Genomic DNA, 26,625 nt, shown 5'->3' with positions numbered 1-26,625 from the left:
TAGCATCAATGAAGCCATCAGATACCAGAGACACATTTATGAAGGTCTGAAAAAATATCTGTCTGAAAACCTCTGAACCTCCTACTGCTTCAGCTTCAGTTATTGCTGTGCTAACTTTAGGTGAATAAAACCACAATGGTCATGGCCTTCTAGATAATGACACAATGGACTCACTTGATAATCAGTGCAGCTAGAATGCCACAAAAACTTATACTAAGCATATTTTCATAAAGAAGAGAATTTTCTTAGCATCAACATATGAGAACTTTAAAAATTTAGCAAAGTTATTAATATTAATATAGGCATATATAGGGAAAAATACGACAAGGTGATTGCAGTTTAATATACAAATACAACAATTTTTTAAATATTCTACAAAAACTGAAGTTGAATAAGATGCTAAACTGCAACAGTAACTTCTCGTGAGTGAATTTATTGTTTGGAATCATCTTTGTGGTATTACAGGAAAAACATAAAAATCAATCATTTTATGAGCTATAGCCTACAGTATAGCATTTTATTGATACACTGAAATATATTTCTTATATTTTTAATTATAGTATGTCTTATAGTCTATATTATAAAATGTTTACATAAACTGCCTAATTTTTGTCTGCAGTGAAATACATATTAAGACACCATATTATATATAAAATGGTGAATTTGAGAAGCCCTGGGGCTAAAAGAATAGCAGCCAATGTTCCGGAGCAGGGATCAGCAAGCTTTTTCAACAAAGGGCCAGAGAGTAAATATTTTAGATTTTGTGGGCCATACAGTCTCTGCCACAATTACTTAACTTGGCCATGAAGCACAAAGGCAGCCTTAGGTAATACAAAAACAAATGAGTGTGGCTGTGTTCCAGTAAAACTTTATGTACAAAATCCTACAGTGAGAGTTTCTGGCAGCCCTACTATAGGGCCACAGTTTGATTACCTCTAAACTATAGGACTTGTTCTGTATATTTTCCTATCCTATCTGATACAGCTTTATAAAATAACCATAAATTTTGATCAAAGAGTAAACCATCATATCTTTTCCCCAGGAATTCCAGGAGCACCAAATTCACCTTTATTACCAACTGCACCCTAAAATACAGAAATGCTTATTAGGAGATTACTTTTAAGGGGTGCGTTAATTACTAATGTTGTCAAAGTGAATCTACCTCTTCCTAGATGAGTTGCTTTTGCTTGCACCAAAGTTTGTGCTTCAAGTTCCTTCCTCATATTGCCCACAAGCCAAAATAATAAATTGTAAAAAATCAGTAATTCGTAAATATCTAAGTGCTAATCATAACTAAAACTAGACATATTCACACAGAAATATGTAATTCAGCTTTGTAATTTACCAAATTTTGAGTAGTCTAATATGCTAATCCAGATATGATGGGTAAGTTTCCCCTCATTTTCTTTCCAATCTGACATTACTCATATGCCCATTCTGTAGCCATACCACAACAATAAAAATTAGTTAAACCAAAATATGTTCATAATTTTTAAAAATAAGGATACATTCTCTTAGTAATAACCTCACAGAAGTAGGATTTAATATTTACCAAAAGTACATTTACCAAATGTAAGGAATAATACTATTGCTGTTACTTCAATTAATATGATAAATGAGTTTAAATGAGTTAAAAGCTACATCCTATCCGATGCTTTCAATTCAAGTAGGTCAGGAAATTTCAGATTCTAAGATATTCCTATTTGTTTCATTTAGTATGCCTGACTTTCCTTTACATCCTCCAGGAAAAACCCCAAAGCTGGGTCAATCCAATGATCAGCTTCCTTGCTCTTCTGTCTAACTGCCAAGCAGGGATGGAAAAACAGGTGCAAGGAAGTCTATGGATCATCTATGGCTTCCTTAAAAGCACTATCACAAATTCAGTCTAATAAATTTATCCTCGAAACAGTGGAAAATAATATACACTTTTTGAATGAGTTTCTCTGTCACTAACACTTGGTAGAAATTAAGAAATATATTGTAATTTTATGAATATGTAATACCATTATTATAATGATACTATCTGTTAATTTCAGATGAAGACCCACAAGTAAATTTCACCTTCAAGTGAATTCCTGTAGATTACATGAGATTATATCAAATTGGGTAAAACTGATCCAAAAAAAGGACTTGTCAATTACTTCAATATATTCAATATGGGATTAGAAAGGATAAAGAAACATTATTATTTCTTATATTGACATATTAAAAGAAGTCAAAAGAATAATATTAAATCCTACTTCTGTAAAGTTATTACTAAGAGAAGGTATCCTTATTTTTAAAAATTATGAACGTATTTTGGTTTAATTAATTTTTATTGTTGTGGTATGGTTACAGAATGGGCATATGAGTAATGTCAGATTGGAAAGAAAATGAGGGGAAACTTACTCATCATCTCTGGGTTAGCATATTAGACTACTCAAAATGAAAACCTCTATAGTGGGATTGGAGGGCAGGAGAAGTTGAAATAAATCAATACCAGTTTCTGACTAAGAAGTCAAATAAGCTAACTTATTCCATTTTAAACAGTTTTGATTTTCTGTCAAAGCATATCAGCAAAGCAATCATTTCATAAAGTCAACACATTTTGGCAAATTAACTGGAGATATGGAAGATAATAATAGAAAAATAAACTGGAAAATTATTCCCAAAATGGAGCTCAGATAACACTTCCCCTCAGGTTCAAGAACATTAAAATTGAGCTAATATTTTATAAAACTCTGAGAGAATTTCAGCTCTGAAATGGGTGAGGGTATTAACAAGGGTCTTAAAGAACTGAGAAAGTAATGCAGTTGCTAAGGAATTAGGTTGCTAACTACATTTGCTAACAAAAGGGAATTAAAAAATTCAGAAAATTATTACAATTGAGTCTAAATGAAAGAAAAGTATTAATTATTACTTCAAATAATGTTATACAGAGTTTAGTGTTAAAGAGCATGGTTAAAATCGCTTGATTAGGTGTTCTGATATAGAATGCTGATCACAACTAGATAATTAAATACAAGCAGTAGTACTTAAAACTGCATTATTCCATGAGAGGTGACCATCACCTTTATAAAAAAAGAAAAAGTAGTAAATCATATTAATAAACCATCATAGTAGATAAGAAAATAGGCAAATAAAAATACATATTAAGTTTTGCCAAAACTTCTGGCTTTTTGCAAAATATTTTTGATGCTTCATTACCTAGACAATACTAAGCTAAACCTGATTAAATCAATGTGAAAAGAATTTTTGTTTTTTAAAAGAAAAAACTGTAGTAGAACAATAGTTAACAATATAATATTATTTAATTCTTTCCTTGCAAATTGAATCTTTGCCTTGCTCAGCAGAGTCTCCTGGGCAATTAGGAAGGAGAACTTACAGTTTCTAGAAATAGCTGAGTTGATTATTTAAACTTTCCTTGAGGTATAGTGTTCATTCATGCATTCAGCATATTTTTAGCTCCTATTATTTATGTGTTGTTCTATGTATAGGCTCACAGAACTCATTTTCCAACAGGGAAAGAAATAGATGCGTGATGACAATGTGTCAGGTGGCAGTAAAAGTGCTAAGCAAAGTAAGAGGATAGAGGTGGGAGTAAGGATGCTTTTTATATAGAGATGCCAGAAGGCCTTTTTATTTTAAAGTTATTTTTGAGCAAGGGCCTAAATGATGTGAAGAAGAGAGCGAGCCAAGTGGATGTGGACAAGGACACTTCAGGCATACATAACTGGTACAAAGGACTTGGAGCAAAAGTGAACAAGGGAAGAGGGTACGAGACAATCTGGGATTGAGGAGTCAGGTAGGGGAGAGCTCTACACATTATGTGAAGCCTCATAGCCCATGGTTAGAGCTTTGGGGTTTACCTTAAGAGAGACAAGAAGTCATTAGTGGGTTTTGGCTCAGGTGGGACAGGATTTGCTTACATGACTATTCGGAATAATTGTCTAACTCATAATGTATGTGTATAAATAAGAGTAACATTTTTCTCTATGAATTTGCTGCATTAAAGTAAGGATGCTCAAAGCATAACACCTTAGATTGTCATCAACAGTCACACAGACCAATGGAACACACTAGAGAACCCATAAATAAATCCATGTATTTACAACCAACTGATTTTTGACAGAGGTGCCAGGAACGTGCATTGAGGAAAGGACAGTCTTTTTGTTAAACAGTGTTGGAAAAACTATATTCAAAAGAATAAACTAGATCCTTATCTCTCACCATATGCAAAAATCAACCCAAAATGGATTGAAAACTTAAATGTAGAGCCCAAAACTATGAATCTTCTGGGGGAAAATGTATGGAAAATGCTTTGGTACATTAGTCTAGGCAAAGATTTTGTGGCTACAACCTCAAGAGCACAGGCAACCAAAGCAAAAATAGACAAATGGGACCATATTGCAATAAAAAGCTTTTGTACAGCAAAGGAAACCATCAAGAGAATGAAGAGACAACCTGCAGAATGGGAGTAAACGTTTGCAAGGTATTCATCTGACAAGGGATTAATATCCACAATATACAAGGAGCTCAAGCAACTCAACAGCAACAAACAAACAAAAACCCCAATAATCTGATTTTAAAATGGGTGAATGATCTGAATAGACACTTCTCAAAAGAAGACATACAAATGGCCAAGAAATACATCAAAAAATGCTCAACATTAATCATGAGGGAGGAGCAAATTGGAATCAAAATGAGATATCATCTTACCCTAGTTTAGAATGGCTATTATCTAAATGACCAAAAAAAATGCTACCAAAGTTGTGGAGAAAGGGGAACTTTTGCACCCTTTTAGTGGGAATGTAAATTAGTATAGCTATTATGGAGAACAGTATGGAAATGCCTCAAAAAACTAAAAATGGAACTACCATGTGATCCAGAAATCCCACTGGGGATATGTATCCAAAGGAAAGGAAATAAGTATGGTGAAAAGATAACTGAAAGCCTGTGTTTATTACAGCACTACTCACAATCGCTAATACATGGAATCAAAATGGGTGTCTATCAATTAATAAATGGATAAAGAAAATGTTTTATACACACACACACACACACACACACACACACATACACACAATGGAATGACATTAAGCCATAAAAAAGAGTAAAATCCCATCATTTGCAGCAACATGGACGAGTCAGAATGACATTGTTGTAAGTGAAATAAGCCAGGCACAGAAGGATAAATACTGCATGTTCTCCTTTATATGTAGAAGTTTAAAAAGTTAATCTCATAGAAGTAGAGAGTAGAATAATGGTTACTGGGGCTGGGAAGGGTGGGAGTGGGGATAGGGAGAAGTTGGTTAACAGATACAAAATTACAGCTATAAAGAATAAATAAGCTCTTCTGTTCAATAGCACTGTAGGGTGACTATGGTTAACAATAATTTATTGAATATTTTCAAATAGCTAAAAGAGAAAATCTTGAATGTTCCCAATACAAAGAAATAATGAATATTTGAGGTGATGGACATGTTAATTATCCCAATTTGATTAGTACAGATTGTATAAATGAATGAAAATATCACACTTTACTCCATAAATACGTATAATTGTTATGTCAATTAACATATTAATAAAAATCTTAACACCTTTAGAAATACTGTAATGTAGTGACATATAATTTGAAAGAGATGTGGAAGTTGTATTCTCAAATCTTTTCTCACTTTATTACATTGGGCCAAAAGTAAAATGCACCAAAAGACTAATATTATACAGTTAATGAGAAAAAGTAAGTTATAATTGTGTCTGGATGGCTTCTAATCGACATTATCTAAGTAAAACAATGCAAGGAACATATTTGAAAAACTAGCACATTGTGCTGAGAGCAGTGGCTCACACCTGTAATCCTAGCCCTTTGGGAGGCTGAGGTGGGTGGATGACCTGAGGTCAGGAGTTCGAGACCAGCCTGGTCAACATGGTGAAACCCCATCTCTACCAAAAAATACAAAAATTAGCCAGGCATGATGGCGGGTGCCTGTAATCTCAACTACTCAGGAGGCTGAGGCAGGAGAATCGCTTGAACCCGGGAGGCGGATGTTGCAGGGAACAGGGATTGCACCATTGCACTCCAGCCTGGGTGACAGAGCAAGTCTCTGTCTAAAAAAAAAAAAAAAAAGCAACTAGCACATTGTATCCAGAGAAGGTCAGATACAGATAATATTGGAAATAAAAGATACAGAGTTGAATGAAATAGTCAACTTATTGAGTAATCTTTTGAAGAAATCAACTATTGATCAATTATTACTATTTACCACAAGTAGCATGTGATGATAACTCAACATTTTTACATCTAATAAATTGAAAATTCTAAGGCAGTATCTCACAAATGAAGATTCCTTTGTTCTTCATCAAGCCACAAATGAAATTAAACTCAACCTAAAATAGTTATCTCCACCTCTCCTTCAATATATGGACAATTATATGGTGGATAAGAAAGCAGGGGAAACATATATTTGTTGAATATCTATAATATGCCAGTTTCTAAGTGCTGTGTATATATTGTATTGTATTCCTTCTTCACAATCAACCACTGGCTAGGTATTATTAAGGATAATTTTCAAAGCAAGTAAGAGGTGGAGAGGATTCAATCCTAAGTGGTTCAGGCTCCAAAGTGGTACTCTTTCCAACATACTGTTCTACCTCCTCTAAATATTCCTTCTTGGGCTTACAGATCAAAAAGAAAACCTTTAGAACAACATCTGATTCCCTTAGTAACATTGCACTTCTGATCATTTCACAAAATTTACTACTGAATATGCCTTAGAGCAAAAATGACTTTCGATCTTCAAGTTATGTAGGCATTATTTTGTGCACCTGCTCTAATAATGACAATTACATGCCAGAATCAAAAATGAAGGAAAGCCTTCTTTATTTATTGCACATTAAAGTTGCAAGATCACATAGTGCAATAGGAGCAGAAATAAACCCACCCTCCATTCCTTAAAATGAAACAATACATCCATGTTTATTTCAAGTGCCAGGAAGGTTGAATGCATTCATGGTCATGGTCATCTAATGTCATTTTTACAAGGCAGAGCATATGTTGGTTTAAGCAAATGTGGGTGCATGTATTGAAAAGATAAGGGAAATACACAGATTAGTTATTCGTTGTGTAGATTATAAATTTCCTTTATTGCAGCTGTTTTTACGTTGCCACTAAAATCTCTTGCCATTATGAATTATCATGGAATTTAAAACAAATGTTAATATTCTTAAAACATACTGCAGATGAGAAGTCATATAATGCATTGTTACTCTAAGATACATTTTTGTATATTTTATAGATTTGACATACAATAAATTGGCTAATATTTATCCATTTTTATTAATTTTTCCTAGTTCTTTTCTACTGGTTTTAGTTTCTATAGAAGGAGAGAATGTTCTGTGAACAAACTGTCACAAGATTGTAAACTCGGTGAGAGCAGGCCCTGTATTTTATTATTACTGCTAAGGCTCCAAAGTCTGGCACATTTTTTATTATAATAGCAGGAGCTCAATAAATAGGTGTTGATGGATGAATGAATAAAGAAAAATAAATATTTAAATGTTAAAGTGAGAGATGTCTATTTATGATTAAAGGGAATCGAGGGGGAAAATGCATCCTTAAAAGGTATAGGCTCTAACAACAGTGACTAAGCACTTAATCTTTAAAAAAGAATTTAAAGTAGATTTAACGATTTTTAAAATAATTATTCAAATAGGACTGTACTTATGACATAGATTTTTTTTTTTCAGTGGGCAGGGTATTTTTCCTAAAAGCAACACATGAAATTTCTTCCTGTGCCAGCAATCTTAAATATGAAGGAACTGATAAATCAAAGAAGTGAAAAGACAAGTTAAGAAATGTGTATGTGAACGTGTATAAATCACAGTCACCAAAAATTAAGCCACATGCATTTTTTTCAAGGCATTTTGGTGTCACTTTATAGTATAGGTATAACAGATAAGTGAGAACACCTTCCGTTGCAGATAAGAAAACTTATGTATGGAGAGTCTGAGTGGCTTGGCCAAATTCACCCTCTAACCAGAGAAGAGTTGGGATTAACTCAGAGATCTTTCCACTTTCTGAGTCCTCTTAATTGTGTTACCTTGGGCACATCAATTTACCTATGTGTGGCTCTCAGCTGTAAAATGAGGATAGAGACACTAGGCTGGCATCTTTAAATGATGTTTTAAGAGTAAAATATCGCAAGTGGAAGTACCTGATCAAAGAACACAGATACATAATACTGAATTGCTTTTAGAACATAGTGGCAGCCTTAAAAATGGATACTGGTCATGAGTAGTCAACAGACCTACTGGTTTCAGATCCCAGTTTGGCCACAAGCTATGTGGCACTGGGCAATAATTTAACCCCCCTAAGCTTCAGTTTTTCCATCTGTAAAATGCTAATACTAATCCCTAACATGAAGAGTGAGTGTAAGGATCAAGTATGATAACATATCTAAAACATTCTTCTCAGTGTCTGGTACATGTAACCATGAAACAAATACTTGCTATTGGTATAATGATTTGTATGTTTAGTTTGATTGAAGTGGTCTTTAGAATCAGATATTGTTCAATTATTTTGAATTTTCATAAAATGATATTGAAAGTAAAGGTACCCCAAGCAATGCATTTTAAAGAGCAATAATAAATGGCCTGTCCCTCCTCAAAAATCTTTTTCAAACACCTGCTGAGTTGTCAGAAGTTCCCATGCAAGGTACATGGGAATACATTCCTTCAGGAATCAAATGACTTTAGCTTTGTTGAAGCTTTGAGGGATCAGTCATTTCTCAGACTTCCGTCTCCTGTCTTTTTAAAGCGGGGGGAGCAATAGATTATACAAATAATTTAGAATCATGGACTTCCCAAGTTAAGGCAGGAAAGGAATTAAAATCTATTTTACCTTGGAGAGATAATAAAAACAGAATCAACTTCTAACAGTGCTCATTCATTTACCTGATTAGCTGACAAAAGATATACTCAAAAGAGTCAGAAACATTACAGTTAAGTTTTGAGTCATGGGAGAAGGGAAAGACAAATCTCTAAGCATGGGATATAGCCTAGAATTACACACTTAGAGGTCCAGTCCACTGGCCATTCCTCCATTAAATCCTCCCTAGCTCCCCAGATCATTTCTCCAGGACACTTGCAACTCTCCTACAGCACCTAACACATATGGCCTTGTAATTTTCCACGATCTCTTTCTAGATGTAAAATCATTGAGAACAGGGAATATATCCTATTTGTCTTTATGTGCTCTACAACACCAAGCAACATACCTCATACACAGAAAGTATTCAAAAAAAGTTGGCCGTTTAAAAAAAAAAGGTAGAGAGCTACAGAAAAATCTCTGGTGGGGATGTATCAAAAGACAAGAGAAGCAAGAATTCAACAGGGATTTGGGGAAGGGAATGCTAAAGAAGGCTAGGGCACAGCTAGAAAATAGACTTTTCTGCTTCACAGTTTTGCTAGAGCTTATAGGTACAAAGACTTGCAGTTCCAGATCTTTCCAAAGTTCACACCAGCCTACCAATATGAATTCAAAAGCTGACTAGAATGCTGATAGTCTCTATTTCAGTAATCAGCATTTTAATATAGTCTTTGATAGCCTTTTATAGAAACATATATTTGTACAGAATAAAGAAAAATGAGATGAACACATTTTTAAGTCATTTTTTAACAAAACCCTGTTTTCTCCATCAGTATTTGTTTTTTTCTTACCGGCTCTCCTTTATGCCCTTTCTGCCCAGGTGAACCCGGAGCTCCTGGTAATCCTGCTTCTCCCTGAGCAAAAATGCATATCTGTGTTAGCAAACATTCTGTCACATTGATCTAAAGCCAAATGGTTTATAAATGTGAAGCTGGCACTAGCAAGATAACGCTTTGTTCTCCTCTGAGCTGATGCTTAGAGTGAGGAATAGTGAGCCACGTGAACAAGGGAAAAAGGGCATGCCAATGGAATTCCATTCACTGTTCCTCACTCTTCCAAACACCATTTAGCATCATCTCCTCCAGACCTTCCATGAGCTGGAACACAAGCTGTTTCTCTATGGACCCCCGAACCTTGCCTTTCTCGTAGAGCTTACTATGCAATATTGGCCACTAGAAAAAATGAAAGTTTCCCTTAAACTTTCACCCCATCCCCATCTGGCTCAGCCAGGAGTTGAAGTGGTGGTGGATGAGTAAGTCGATGACATGTTTTAAGTCACAGTGCTAGGGCACACTCTGCTCTAGAAACTGGGGCAAGTTCTCCTTTCCTCAGGTATGGGCACTGGAAAAAGCCACCAAGACACCACTCAGCCTTTTAGCACAGGCTTTATTACTGCCATTAACATCCATAAAGGAAGTTCATAAAGGTCCATGGCACAGCCTTCTTGACCAGGGGATCATATTGGTGCAGATGAAACAAATTATTTGAGTAACAACAGAGCCCCTCTGTATATTCCCCTAATAACTTATGGTGGATGGAGACAGCCAGTTGAAAATTTAGGGATGCTGGAAAAACACAGTCTATACAGAAAAAGAAATACAATGTAGAGTATTTTTGTGTATGTTTTTGAAGAGCAGGCACTGTGTTTTCTTCAACTGTGAATTCCCAGAACTTCAGCCTATTCCTGGCACATGCTAAGTACTCAGTACTTGCCTGTTGTACAGGTAGTTCCTCCCTTCACTTTTCTATTCATTCTAGTTCACACCCTGGAAGGAAGTTCAGATGGGCTTGAAACTATCCAGGTAAGAATCCAGGAAGTCCTATCTTCAATGCCTTTTTCTTAACCCACCCCAGTAACTGAGGTATTTACTTCAACAAACACTGAATGGCAAGACACATTCTGTGAACAGAGGCCACATTCAAGGAGCTGGGCTCATAGTCTGGAGTGGCTTTCAGTGTGCACCAATTAAAACTAGCATACCTTGTTTGGAATGCACTGGCACTGGTCTTTAAGTTCCTGCTTTGCTGGCAGATATGAAGACATTTTACTGGCATGAGCAGTTACCCATGATGATGCAATATTTCCAAAGCCATCCTGCTCTGGGCACTAAAATCCAAAAAGAGGCTTTAGGAAATGGGGTCAATTCCAAACATTCTCATGTTCCAAACACTGGCTCCCACTAAACTAGGGATTGCTGAGGTTGCCTGCAAGAACTGCTTCTTACTAACCAAAAGTTAACACCAGTGTGAGAATGTTTATCACACTTTTGCACTTTCCGCCTGAGCCCATGGGTTTTCTTATACTGACAACATGCAAGAAAAATATTTAAAATAATGGTCTTGGTAAGGAATTACAAAGTTACATTAGGTAACTTTTTGATAAGTACAGAAATTTCATACATTTATAATAATTGTATTGTTGCAATAAAATAATTTGTACAAACAACATGTGAATACATCTTTTGGGAACAAAAATTAAAGTTGAAACATGTAATTTGAACCTATAAAATATGGTTTCCTTCAACAAGATGATTATTAAAGCATATAAAGTAGAAAATAAATTCTTTTTACACTCTTAGACAACATTTATTAAATCAAAGTATACTTTGTTCTAGTCTACTGTTCCTTAAAGATATTAAAAAGGTCTCCACTACAACAGACAAGTAGTGCATTTTATACTTATCCAGTGGGTTCAGAGCATGCTGGACAAAGTGAAGTGCAATTTGGTTACAAAGCAACGAACATTTTTTAAAAAATTAACCCAAATGGAGAATCTGAGGAGGATAAACACATTGTTTTTTCTCAACATCATGTACCAGACTTCTCACCATAGTTTTCCACTCTGAATTTGCAATTTCACGAAGAGAAAGCACTAGGAGAGAGTTAATACATTACTTTGTATACCACAAATTATAAATGCATGGTAAAGTATTTTCAGGATACAAAACTAAAATATTATCTGTGGTTTTCTACTGTGGTTGAAATCATGATTGATATTTATTTTCTTTTATGGATTTGGCTATATTTTCCAGTAAACATAGATAAGTTTTGTAACAAAAATTCATTTTGATGATCTGTGCAGGAAACCATCATGGCACACGTTTACCTATGTAACAAACCTGCACATCCTGCAAATGTACCCCTGAACTTAAAATAAAAGTTGGAAATAAGAAATAAAAAAAAAAACTTGGTAGTAGTTGAATTCTTTGATAATTACAATAAAAACTGTAACAAAACCAACACCCAGAAATACAGCAACTAGTTTACTGTATCCACCACTAGTTCTTTCAAATCTACTCTCTCCAGATTTCAGGATTATTTATCCTAACAAGTTCCCAAATTTGAAAGTCTAAAAACTATTGTATATTTGAATGGAACAAGGTTATTACCAAAACAGTTCATTCATCTCATTTGATTTGATATGATGTTTCAGCCAGTTCTTACCTCATGGCTTTCCAGTCAGATAACCAAGACCCACTTAGAATTCACAATTCTGCTCTGGATAACTGAGTCACTATATTAAATTGAGGATTTAAATAACTTTAAAAGTATGTCTCAGGCTTCACCATAAACCTGTCCACACTCCACAAAAAGTGCCTAGAGGCAACACCAAACATACAAGTAAGGACTCTTCTCCTCGTAAAACCTCTGGTTTTGATTTGACACATATTCAGTATTAGCCCTTAAAAATTTAACCACATTTCTCATTTATTTTCAACAAATGTTACTGATTTCATCCTTCTCTTAATATTTGTTCTTCATTCTTTTTATATCTAGAGTCATGAAACTTAACTACTTTAGAAACTGAAAATCCAATAGAAACAAAGAAGCATCTTTATAGGTGATCTTTAAAAAATGTTGCCTTTGAAATGCTTTATAAAATATTGACAACCAGAAAACATGTGTGATTTGAAATTCCAGGACAAAATTAGATATTTAAGCAACTACATTAAAAATTTCTGAGTTCAAAACATTTTGCAACAAAAAAGAAAATAAATACAATTCGTATTGGAAGTAGAGCAGATGCATTTAAATGGCTTTTATATAATTATTTATCCTTCCAACTGTACATTCCTATTCATAAAATGTAGTATGTTTCTATTTTTTGTTAGTCATTAAATGAATGGTGATATCCCCTCCAAATAATTGTCAGCAAAAATACAGTCTTTCCTTATTTTTTCCATAGTCAGAGATAAATTCCTACCTTGTGTTCTATTCTTTAAAACTAACTCCCAAATAATCTTTTCAAAATATGATTTAAAAATCTTTTGTTCATAATGTGTGAGATCATGTCACTGCTTTGAATTACCAACCATTCCACCCAATTCATCACCTATACTTCTTAAACAATTTCCTCATAAATCAGGTGGAAAGTTTCTATTACATTAATATAATGATAAAGGGCAGTGATTACTGGCTAATTATATAATATTCAGATATATCAAAATATCATTATATTACTTTACAACCAGAGAAAGTTATTACTTTAAAAACTCTGACATCAAAAAAGCATAATTAAAAACAAAATTTTGGGGGAATTAACATCTTTAAGATTTAAATGTGTAGCTCCAGGAAGTCTAGGTATTTCAAGTCTGTAGATTGGCATTCTAAATTATCTTTTCAGATATTTATAGAAAGATATTTGGCTGGCTGGCATTTTACTTGGAATGAGATACATGAAGTGGATTGGAGATATGCTTTATAAAGCCAAGTTACAAAAGCAAAACATATAATACTTGAAAGACTTAGCTATGCTTTAAGTCACTAAAGCTATGCTTTAAGCTATGCTTTGGTCACATTCTTATTTCACTACCCAAAGTGAGCTACAAAAGTCAAAAATATTTTTGAATCATAAATTGTTGATAAAATTTTCATATAATTTTCTATGGCAAGTATAGAACATTTATGAAATCTAAGATCCAAAGAAAAGACATTTTCACCTTTTACTTGCACTTTTCATATGCTCTTTCTGTACTTTTTTTTAGAACCAGTCCCCTTTGAATATCTTTCTGTCCCATTTATCTTTTTTAGTAATTGGTAAGTCAATAAATCAAACAATGATTGTCTACTTTTTCCAAATGAAGCATTAGGAATAAAAAAGTTTATCAAGGTAAAACTTCCCTTACTGAGTCTGAATTGTACTTAAATCAATTTAAAAACAAATATAGTTACACCTAGTAATATAAGATAGCACACACGGCCATTACACTGAGAGATACAGAAAGTATTGAATTTAGTATTTTTCTTGTAATGAAAGATTGGTATAAGTAAGTAACAGTTGTATGGTTAGGTTGGGAATATTTAGAATGAGAGGCTGAGAAACTGCATTTATATTTCACTTCCAACAGGAGTCACTTAAGAGAAAGACATGAAGAGAGGGCAGGGAATGTGCCTTAATCATGTTTGTTAGCCCTGTTCCTTAGCACAGTGTTTAGAAGGTCAGTGTTTCTGAATAAAGTGTTTGCTGGAAGAGAGTGAATGAATATACAAAGCAGTGACTCAGACTTATTCTGGTTATGCTGCAAAGCAAAGGGGCAGGACATAGGGAAGGCAGTTGATCCAATAATGATTGATATCCCAGACACGAGGTAAATGTACACTTTGGCAGTAACAGGAAAATGGAAGATAAGGATGAAAAGTCTATGTCAAAGGAAAGCTAGCCAGGATGGGTGACAGGGTAGAAAAGGAAAATGAGTGAGAATAAAGTATGATCACAGATTTAAAACTTCTGTAACTGGAAATGATGCTGCTGTCAGAACATAGTTTAGGAAGAAAGGCATAACTTTAAGTTATACTGAGTTCAAAGTGAGTATATATTACCCTCAAAATTAAGGGTGAAATGCTGGGATTAAAACTGTTGAAAGTAACCATGAGAAAGCACTATGAATGCTTCCTTACTAGGAATAAATTACCCACCTGGCTTCAACAGAACACACTCAGTGCTACCCTACATTTGGACTCTACAAACTATGCCACTAAAAGATAATTGGCGTTCTTCATTCTTCATATGCAAAGAAAATTAACTTACCTTAGTATCTGATATTTCACAACATGTTTCTTGAGCTATGAGGTTTGCACTGCAGTAGATTTTAAGTTGGTGAAGTTCAATCTATGAAAAAATTAGTAATAAGAAACATCTTTAGTTTTTTGGAATCACATTCAGGCAGTTAAGAACTACAGTAATTTAATCAGAAAGAAAAAGGAAGCTAATATAAATAAATTACTGGTGGATATTTTAATGTTTTTATTAAATGTAGGATTCATTGTTTTGTGGACTACTTGAGAGACATAGAGTTGGATATAGAGATGGATCTATAGATAAAGGAAATCAGGTAATGAAAGCAATTGCAAACCTTGGCTAGCTGTTTCAAACAATAAAATAGAAGTACTTAATTTTAAAAAAGCTATTGTTTTACACTACAGTAAAGAATGCCCACAAAATGAGGCCATTTCAAAATAAAAAAAAAATTGGAGAAAAGGTAAAATCAAAGATATGAGCACATGATGAGAAAGGCTTTATTTGTACTTCCAGACTCCTATTTGAGGCACTGAAATAGGTGTTCACTTACCAACAAGGAAAAAAAATTTTTTATCTATATTTCACGAATTCTGCCTAAAACCTATTGATTTTATATTATATTGGTATAATCTAAGCAGGGCTAACAACCTTTTTACAAAAATAATTGATTCCTTCTATTTGCTTAGCAGATTTCTCTTTTTTTGGCATTTGGACATGAAATTAACTGTAGTTCAAGGAAAGTAAAATCATGCCTTTAAATGCAAGATGAAATCAACACCTAAGAAAAAGTAAATAGTACTGATTATTGATAAAATAGCAATATAATAAATTCTTAAATAGGCTGTTTGAATTCTTTAAGCACTGAAATGTATTAAATAATGCATTATTTTGAGGTCAATAAGTACTTTATACAGAAAGACCCAACTCTAATCTTATAATAATTAATCTTATAATAATAGAAAGCAGGCATTTGTGATTAGAGGTGAATCTCTACTCCAACTTTAAAAGCAAAAAGGGGGGAAAAATCTATAACTTTTACTTTTCGCCTCAGATGAACAAAATCAATGCAGTTCATAGAATGCGTTAACAACTCCAGACATCTTACAGATTCATGAGCAGCCTAAGATTTGCAGAAAATGCAAAATCATGAGACTAAATGAAATGTAATGATTTATGTTCTGTAACTTTTTGCAAGGTTATTAAGGTTAATTTTTATTTATAAAATTTAAATACACCGTCTTACATAGTATAATGAAATACCAGCAGTAACATATGAATTATTTAGAATGAAGAATGAGAACTCTAGTTAATTAATATTGTTCTTAACTAAACTTTTTTATTATCACTGTTATCAAAATAGTCAATAAATATTGAAATCCTATTATGTACCATCCATTGTACCAGGTCCTGCTTATGAATTGTTTTACTTAACTAAAGATAGATGATCAATTTTCAAAGGATTACAACCTGATTGAGTTCCATGACATTGAAATGACAGTCAGAATAGTTTATGCTTTGTTTATTCATTCATTACTTTAGAATGCTTCACTGATATAGTGCTTTAGAAGGAGAATGCTTAAGGCTAAATCTGTACTGATGCTTGTCAAAATGCTGAGTTGATTTAAAAAAAAATCTTCATATCAGTTTTGTCACTTTCTCACAAAAATACACAGGTGGGATAGGTGAAATAAAACTAAATCATGATAATTTTTTTCAATAACACACAGCCCAAATAAACACATTTTCACACCATAACAGATCTTATGAATCACAGAGCTTGTACAGAGATGATGAAAAATTAATCCATTCAAAGTTTCAGTAGAACCAAGAATCTTTTATAAAAATATGTATTTTGTTTGTTTAACTCAAACAGTGACTATCTCCAAAAATATTGCATCATTGTGACATGCCTTCAAGTTTATCCTCAAATGAACCAAGAATCCACATGAAATTATGAAACCACTGTAATACCACGGTTTTTACCTATATCCTTTTTATAAGGATTCACGTGATATTCTTTAGCCTCAAATTGTGGGATCAATTCTTTTGTTTGTTTGTTTGTTTTTTGTTTTTTGAGACAAAGTCTTGCTCTGTCGCTCAAGCTGGAGTGCAGTGGCATGATCTTGGCTCATTGTAACCTCCCCCTCCTGCCTCAGCCTCCCGAGTAGCTGGGATTACAGGCGTGTGCCACCACATCTGGCTAATTTTTTGTATTTTTAGTAGAGACAGGGTTTCACCATGTTAGCCAGGATGGTCTCGATCTCCTGACCTCGTCATCTGCCCACCTCGGCCTCCCAAAGTGCTGGGATTACAGGCATGAGCCACTGCGCCTAGCCCGGGATCAATTCTATCCTTGGGTGAGAAGTTAATGAGACACAGGACATAGAACACTCAATCTTCTTAGATTGAGGTCCAAGACTGGATCTCATTCTTGCAAAAACTCTAAGAAATAAACTATAAACTGTTTATACATAATAAACTAAGAAAACGTGCAGCCATCAAATTTAGATATATCTAACTTTTTTAAGATTACAGACCTTGTTCTCTAGGGAAATCAATAATAAATCTATATCATGTTAGCTTCAAATGTAATATTTAAAGTAACTTTTTATCCAAAAGGGTTTTACTAGGCAATTTTTCTCTTTCAAATGACCTACTAATACATTTAGTGAATTTTTCTGTACAATAGAACCCTGAAAAACCATTATACGCTTATAAAAAATAGTCTGCAATACAAAGTAATTGCTATTGTAAGGATGAATAGTCTATTGTTCTTGAATGAAAATAGCAGATAACCTGGAACCATTTAATTTGAACTTCAGCTTTTTCCAGCCCTTTCTATTTAAAACATATGAACTTAGACCAAGTTTATATTTTGTATCATATTTTCAATTTTTACTTTTAATAATCTAATTTTTTAAGGCATGACCTAATTATTTTAAATTCCCAGGCTGGAGAAAATGGGTATAAAATGGAGTGAAAATAATACATGTGAAAATACAATTGGAAATAACATAGCTGTTCTTCACACATCTGACGGCAAATTAATTAAATTAATAAAATTGATGAGAAGGGAATCTATTACACAGTAATAAAAGAAGAATGTTTTTAATAAGATTTTTTTTTTACTTAGAAATTTTAGTTCTCTTTCACAACTAACATCACAACTTACATCCACAGGCTTGCCATCTGAAGCTCGCGTAGCAATAACTGTCCGTCCATGGAAATCCACAGTGTCCTTTTCATCAGTCTGCCTCCTCGCAATTAAATTACAATCCATATAAAGTGAAATGACCTGGGATTGTATACTAATGCCAAGTTTGTGCCACTGACGATCAAACAAAGGACGGAGTTCTCGATTTCTAAAAATGTAGTTCAACACATCTCCCTCTGTGGCTTGAAACATAAATTCCACCACCTTCTTTCCACCATCAACTACTATAGAAATCTGCAAAAATGTAAAGTATCTTTAAATGTTTTAAAAATCAATGTTCAAAATTATTAAAGCACACAAAGAAAAGCTCAAGATGCATATTAGTATAACTGAGGCACTTAGTAAAATATTTTAGATGACACTTGTGTCCACCAGGTTTGTTAAAATAAAAGAACAGCAAACACCACTACAAAAATGGTTTAGAAATGGGGCATTCTGGTGAATGTAATATGCTCCTTCCTAAGAGAACATCTAAGAGTGTGTGTGTGTGTGTGTGTGTGTGTAGTTATTTTAAATGTTTATATAAACCATTTATAAGTTTATATATACATAATTTATATACACTATAGATAAAATTTTATAAGATATATAAATTATTGCTCTGTATTAGTAACACAGGAATTTAAGGTTACCAATTTAAGAAGACTAAGAATGTGATCATTTCCCTAAGTAGGGAAGCTAAGATCAATTCTTTCACCATTGATACTTTGCAAGGTACAGAGAAAACACATTTTATAGAGGACATACTCTTGGTTGATCTACTCATCATAAAATTGTAGCTGTATTAACAGATTAAAAGATCAGTGATGATTTAAAACATTTCAACGGATATGTACACAAGTAAAAACTAATGTATGGTGCCAACAAGTAATTTTGAGGTTCCTCTCCCCTCGCTGGAGTGCCAGCATTCCTTCTTTGCAGCCCAAACGCCATCTCTTCTATATGCTCTCCTAGATTCCTGCTCTCTCCATCCCCCAATTCCGATGAGCTGCCCTTTCGGTGCTCCCATTGTCCACACCCAACACTAAGCTTAACTCTACCACTGCACTTGTTCAACATAATTATGCTATATTATGTTGTTCTCCTAGATGTCATCTCCTTACGCCTTATGCTCCCTGATAATACAAATTCTGTTTTTCAGATCTCTTTTCTTGTCACTACCTAGTATATAGTATGTGTTCCATAAATTTTTATTGATGGGATAAATATTTAAGTCTCAACTCTTTATTCACCAAGAGTTGTCCAATGAAATGATAAACTGCTTTAAAAATAATATATAACATTAGAGACGACAGAAGGAAGATGAAGAATGTGTTACTTAGAAAGAATTAGTTAATGAAGCAGTTGTAAAGAGAAGGCAGTTTTACATCTTTAAACAAAATATGGACCTAGAAGTAAAATAAAAACAAAAACTAACACTATGTTTACCACTATACTCTCATATTATGGATCTCAGCAAGGCCATCCTAACTACGAGAATACTTGCATTTTCTTGTTGATGATCCCTCTAAAGGATAGAACATTTGGATACTAGATCTACTCGCAAATTTGTGCACCAGTTCAAATAATTCACCTGGCTTAATTACACAAGGAAAACTAATGAGCACAACTCTAATGGTACTTTACCTGTGGAATATTCTGCTGGTTTAAAACCTGCCACAGAAACCACCGTTCCTTTTTGGCGTTTCTTCGTACTCGAAACATGGCAGCTACTGAGTACTCCTCAGGAAGGCCTTTGGGAAATATCTTACTGTGGGAGGAAAACAAAGAACTTTTGTGGGGAAACTGGAGATTGCAAGAAAATAAAATCTAGGTATAAAGTTCTGTGTAACACAATATCTCAGTCATATTTTTCTCAGTAAATGTGTAACTTATGCACTTTTCTCTTTCCTTTTAAAAAATCTTCTGGTACAGTGTTGTTAAAGTTTGGAGTGTATAAAAATGAGTGAAGAGATTACAGTATTAAATTGTGACATTTCCTTATTCAACAAGATATTGAACAGAAGAAAATCTCAGAATTCACTGCAGTCTGACAAACAGTAGAGATTTATCAAGGAAATAAAATGGTATGACTTGATTTTGTTAGTAGAGAGAGGTACAGAGAATTTTAAAGAACACCAGTAATAAGTAAACAAATATTTTCCAAAGAAACTTTTTCATATTAAATTCTTGCAAATGAGTTCCTAATACTGATTTCTTAGTCCCAACTGAAGACCATGCTAAATATAACATGGATATTTTAGCTTTATTTTTCACTTTGCTTCTATATACCTGTTAGCTTTTTCTTGCTTTGTGCTATTGTCATACAAATAAATCACATCTTTATATTTTATATTCCCATCAATGAAGATTTCTAATATTGCTTTATGTATGTATGTATTTATACAACTGTATTTTAAATCTGATAAGAAAATAAAAGAAACACAAACTAAGTACATTTATTCTGGCTTTTATATTTATCTATGTAATTAACTATTCCAGTGCTTTTTATGTCATTGTTTGGATTTGAGTTACTGTCTAGTTTCCTTTCATTCAGCCTAAAGGAATTTCCTTCCTATTTCTTATAGGGCAGATGTGCTAGTCTCAAATTCTGGGTTTTTTTAATCCTTAATTTCACCTTCAGTTTTGAAGGATAGTTTTGCTGGATATAGAATTCTTGATTTACAGTCTTTTTCCTTCAAAACGTTGACTATGTCATCCCACTGCCTTCTGGTCTCCATGGTTTCTGATGAGAAGTCAGCTTACTCATATTGAGAACTTCTTGTTTTCTGTTTTGGTTAACTACTTCTCTCTTGCTGCTGTAAAAATTCTCTCTTTGACTTTTGGCAGTTTGGTTATCATGTGACTAAGTGTGGATCTCTTTCAGTTTGTCCTTCTTAGAGTCTGTTGAGCTTCCTGAATGTATAAGTTAATACCTTTTACCAAATTTGAGGAATTTGCATTGCTTATTTCTTCAAATAGTCTTTCTTTACTCTCTCTCCACTCCTAGAATTCCTATTATGCATGCTTGCTGGTATCACACAGTCTTGGAACTGTTCATTTTTCTTCATTCTTTTTCCCCCGATCTGCAGACTAATTGAACTATCTTCAAGTTCCTGGATTCTTTCTTCTCCTACCTCAGATCAGTTCTTGAACCCCTCCTGTAAATTTTTCATTTCTGTTTTATACTTTTCTATTCAAAAATTTGATTTGCTGCTTCTTAATAATTTCTACTTATTGATATTCTCTATTTGGTAAGACATCATTCTCATACTTTTCTTTAGTTCATTACAGTTTCCTTTAGTTACTTAAGTATATTTAAAATAGCAGACAAAGTTATTGTTAAGTAAGTTTAATGTCTAGGTTTCCTCAGAAACAGTTTCTATTGGCCACTCTTTTATCTGTACATAGTTTTGCATACCTTCTTTTTGCATATCTTCTAATTGTTAATTGAAAAGACCACAGCCAATAAAATACTGAAGGGGCAAAAACTGGAGGCATTCCCTTTGAAAACTGGCACAAGACAGGGATGCCCTCTCTCACCACTCCTATTCAACATAGTGTTGGAAGTTCTGGCCAGGGCAATCATGCAGGAGAAAGAAATAAAGGGTATTCAATTAGGAAAAGAGGAAGTCAAATTGTCCCTGTTTGCAGATGACATGATTGTATATTTAGAAAACCCCATCGTCTCAGCCCAAAATCTCCTTCAGCTGATAAGCAACTTCAGCAAAGTCTCAGGATACAAAATCAATGTGCAAAAATCACAAGCATTCTTATACACCAATAACAAACAAACAGAGAGCCAAATCATGAGTGAACTCCCATTTGCAATTACTTCAAAGAGAATAAAATACCTAGAAATCCAACTTACAAGGGATGTGAAGGACCTCTTCAAGGAGAACTACAAACCACTGCTCAATGAAATAAAAGAGGATACAAACAAATGGAAGAACATTCCATGCCCATGGATAGGAAGAACCAATATCATGAAAATGGCCATACTGCCCAAGATAATTTATAGATTCAATGCCATCCTTATCAAGCTACCAATGACTTTCTTCACAGAATTGGAAAAAACTACTTTAAAGTTCATATGGAACCAAAAAAGAGCCCGCATTGCCAAGTCAATCCTAAGCCAAAAGAAAAAAGCTGGAGGCATCACACTACCTGACTTCAAACTATACTACAAGGCTACAGTAACCAAAACAGCATGGTACTGGTATCAAAACAGAGATATAGACCAATGGAACAGAACAGAGCCCTCAGAAATAATACCACACATCTACAAACATCTGATCTTTGAGAAACCTGACAAAAACAAGCAATGGGGAAAGGATACCCTATTTAACAAATGGTGCTGGGAATACTGGCTTGCCATATGTAGAAAGCTGAAACTGGATCCCTTCCTTACACCTTATACAAAAATTAATTCAAGATGGATTAAAGACTTAAATGTTAGACCTCAAACCATAAAAACCCTAGAAAAAAACCTAGGCAATACCATTCAGGACATAGGCTTGGGCAAAGACTTCATGTCTAAAACACCAAAAGCAATGGCAACAAAAGCCAAAATTGACAAATGGGATCTAATTAAACTAAAGAACTTCTGCACAGCAAAAGAAACTACCATCAGAGTGAACAGGCAACCTACAGAATCAGAGAAAATTTTTGCAATCTACTCATCTAACAAAGGGCTAATATCCAGAATCTACAAAGAACTCAAACAAATTTACAAGAAAAAGCAAACAACCCCATCAAAAAGTGGGCAAAGGATGTGAACAGACACTTCTCAAAAGAAGACATTTATGCGGCCAACAGACACATGAAAAAATGCTCATCATCACTGGCCATCAGAGAAATGCAAATCAAAACCACAATGAGATACCATCTCACACCAGTTAGAATGGCAATCATTAAAAAGTCAGGAAACAACAGGTGCTGGAGAGGATGTGGAGAAATAGGAACACTTTTACACTGTTGGTGGGACTGTGAACTAGTTCAACCATTGTGGAAGAGAGTGTGGCGATTCCTCAGGGATCTAGAACTAGAAATACCATTTGACCCAGATATACCCAAAGGATTATAAATCATTCTGCTATAAAGTCACATGCACACATATGTTTATTGCGGCACTATTCACAATAGCAAAGACTTGGAACCAACCCACGTGTCCATCAATGATAGACTGGATTAAGAAAATGTGGCACATATACACCATGGAATACTATGCAGCCATAAAAAATGACGAGTTCATGTCCTTTGTAGGGACATGGATGAAGCTGGAAACCACCATTTTCAGCAAACTATCACAAGAACAAAAAACCAAACACTGCATATTCTCACTCATAGGCGGGAATTGAACAATGAGAACACTTGGACACAGGAAGGAGAACATCACACACCGGGGCCTGTCATGGGGTGGGGGGAAGGGGGAGGGATAGCATTAGGAGATGTACCTAATGTAAATGACGAGTTAATGGGTGCAGCTCACCAACATGGCACATGTATACATATGTAACAAACCTGCACATTGTGCACATGTACCCTAGAACTTAAAGTATAATTTAAAAGAAGAAAGAAAAGAAGACATTTAAAATAATATAATATGGTAACATTGGAAATTAGACTCTACCTGTCAATGGTTTGCCGTTGGTGCTGTCTGTTGTCTTTATTGTTGCTGCTTTTTATTTGCTTAGTCACTTTTCTGGACAAATTCTGTAAAGTGTTTGACTCCTGAAGTTTCTGCTCATTTAGCTTAGTAGTCAACTAATGATTGAATAGTTAAACACCCTTACCCAAAAGCATCCCAGCCTTTGCTGAAGGCCTATGTGTGTGACAGAAAATACCTTAAATGTTCAGGCTGGTAGTTTATAAATCACCTTAGCCTTCATGTTCTGCTTGTTCAGAGCTTGGAGTTTTGCCAAAGATTTTAAGGCCTTTTCAGGCCTTTCCGGAGTTTTCACACAGCCCTGTAACATAGAAATATGTGTCTGGAGTCCTACAAATATGTTGGAGCTTTCTAGTGCCCTCTATGGATGTCTTCTTCCCCAGTTTTTTCTTTAAAAATTTTTTTGATCAGCTTCTTGTTTATTCCAGTTATAACTCCTGCCTCAGGCAGCTGCAATATTAAACAATTGCCACTGATTATTTTCAATTAATGTCCACAGGAAAGGGCTATTCTTACAAGCTCTGATCAGGTCAAATAAAGACCAACTAAGAATTGGGGTTTTTAGGGAACTACCAGGCAGGAAAAATAATGGCAATTCCCTGAAAATGGAGCTTTTAATGAACTTCACACTCTTTCTTCCCTTTCCAGCAGCTGCTAGGCAGCTAGTTTTCACTGTGATTCTGAAGCTACTGGTTTTCAAGCCTACCATGTGTTGGAGAGAGAGGGATATGAATAGGACAAGTTAAAATGCCATAAAGCCTGCTAGTCTTACTGAGATTCAAAGTTTTTCTTGAATAATCACTCATTAGATTGTGAAAGCCCCTTAAAAAGTTCTGAATATATTGATTTTGACAAATTTTGCCTGTGTTCTTATTGCTTTTTTTGAGGAGTAGGTTTTCTGAAATCCTTCAGAAATAACAAATTGTTATTTTTAGCCACTAAGTTTTGTAGTGGTTTCTTACAAAGCAAAAGATAATAAAAACATTTTTTCTCTTCATTTTCTACTTAGGATGATAGTCATGCAGTCACCAGTCCATCTGTTGTTAAGACTGAAAGCTCTTTGAAAGCAAGCACAGCATTTAACATACTTTGTATCACTCACAAAGCCTAAGTGCAGTCCCAACAGGGCACTTTATCTGTTGAATGAGTGAGTGATCCAGCAAATGAAAGACAGAGATGTACTGAATTTTGATATGATACTTTGATGTTTAATAAACAAAAACTAAATAGAGGTCGGGTGTGGTGGCTCACACCAGTAATTCCAGCACTTTGGGAGGCCGAGGCGGGCAGATCACTTGAGGTCAGGAGTTTGAGACCTGCCTGGCCAACATAGTGAAACCCCATTTCTACTAAAAATACAAAAATTAGTCAGGCATGGTGGCACGCGCCTGTAATCCCAGCTACTCAGTTGGCTGAGGCAGGAGAATTGTTTGAACCCAGGAGGTGAAGGTTGCAGTGAGCCGAGATTGCACCACTGCATTCCAGCCTGGGTGACAGAGTAAGACTCCATATCAAAAAAAAAAAAAAAAAAAAACCTAAATAGAATTATTTTTCGATAATTTATAATCTAGTTCAAAAGCTGAAAATATTTTTGCATCTCATGAGTAGTTTCTGCTGTGACAAAAAAATAAGAGTATTATCAATATTTATATATAACAATTATATTTTAAAATATACATTGAAATAAATTTAGCTATATTTAAGGAATAATTGATTTTAATCTAAGTTTATAATGAATGAAAATCTTTATAATTACTATATTTCCCTTTCAGAAATTTATATTGTGCTTTCAAGACCAAATATGATTTTGCTTGCCAAGATTATGCTATTTGAAGAAAAACTTCTGCATTTTAAAAATAAAATATTAAAAAAAAATCTACTCTTACAAACTATGCTTGTTGTTTATACCACACAAGCACAAACACTTAACGTGACACAGAATAGTTTCTCTGGGTCTTGCCAAAATTTCTGTTATAAAAGAGGCCATATTGGGTTACCAGAGAGATATAATGACAGCTTGCTATGTCTAAGATATCCATGCTTGAATATTTTGAATGGAGTGTAATTTCCTATAAGAAATCCTATCCATTGCTTATTCAGTGATACTCCCAGTAAGAAAAATATCGCTGATCCTTACTTGCTAAGTTCATTCATATAAATATATATACGAATCTACATACGAATATATATACGAATCTACATACGAATATACATATACGAATCTACATACGAATATACATATACGAATCTACATACGAATATACATATACGAATCTACATACGAATATATACGAATCTACATACGAATATATACGAATCTACATACGAATATATACGAATCTACATACGAATATATACGAATCTATATACGAATATATACGAATCTATATACGTATACGAATCTATATACATATACGAATCTATGTGCGAATATATATGAATATATACGAATATATATATGAATATATATGAATATACATGAATATATATGAATATACATATGAATATATATGAATATATATGAATATATATGAATATATGAATATATATGATATATATGATATATGATATATATGATATATATGATATATATGATATATGATATATATGATATATGATATATATGATATATATGATATATATGATATATATGATTATGATATATGATATATATAGATATATGATATATGATTATATGATATATGATATATGATATATATGATATATGATATATGATATATATGATATATGATATGATATATGACATATATGGATATATAATACATATGGATATATTATATATGAATATATGTGATATATATATGAATATATGTGATACG

The 26,625-nt window shown here is 33.8% G+C and overlaps 1 protein-coding gene across 8 annotated transcripts in view; it reads right to left on the bottom strand.

Moving 5' to 3' along the window:
• Window positions 1–26,625, bottom strand: part of COL19A1 (collagen type XIX alpha 1 chain) — a 345,913-nt gene that overhangs the window by 264,672 nt on the left and 54,616 nt on the right. For 5 of the 8 annotated variants that reach the window (NM_001858.6, XM_011535437.3, XM_017010253.2 and 2 more), the window contains exons 5-9: window positions 19,765–19,888; window positions 18,097–18,372; window positions 14,934–15,014; window positions 10,887–11,012; window positions 9,697–9,759 (exon numbers count right to left, since the gene is read on the bottom strand). In NM_001858.6, the coding sequence (NP_001849.2) occupies window positions 9,697–9,759; window positions 10,887–11,012; window positions 14,934–15,014; window positions 18,097–18,372; window positions 19,765–19,888 (670 nt within the window). The remainder of the gene's footprint in view (window positions 1–9,696; window positions 9,760–10,886; window positions 11,013–14,933; window positions 15,015–18,096; window positions 18,373–19,764; window positions 19,889–26,625) is intronic. The other 3 variants (XM_047418188.1, XM_017010257.2, XM_047418187.1) reach the window with 1 other exon arrangement.

Source organism: Homo sapiens, chromosome 6 (assembly GCF_000001405.40).
Source record: "Homo sapiens chromosome 6, GRCh38.p14 Primary Assembly".
In the NCBI taxonomy this organism is placed as follows: domain Eukaryota; kingdom Metazoa; phylum Chordata; class Mammalia; order Primates; family Hominidae; genus Homo; species Homo sapiens.
This window is presented reverse-complemented; position numbering and strand designations above follow the sequence as displayed.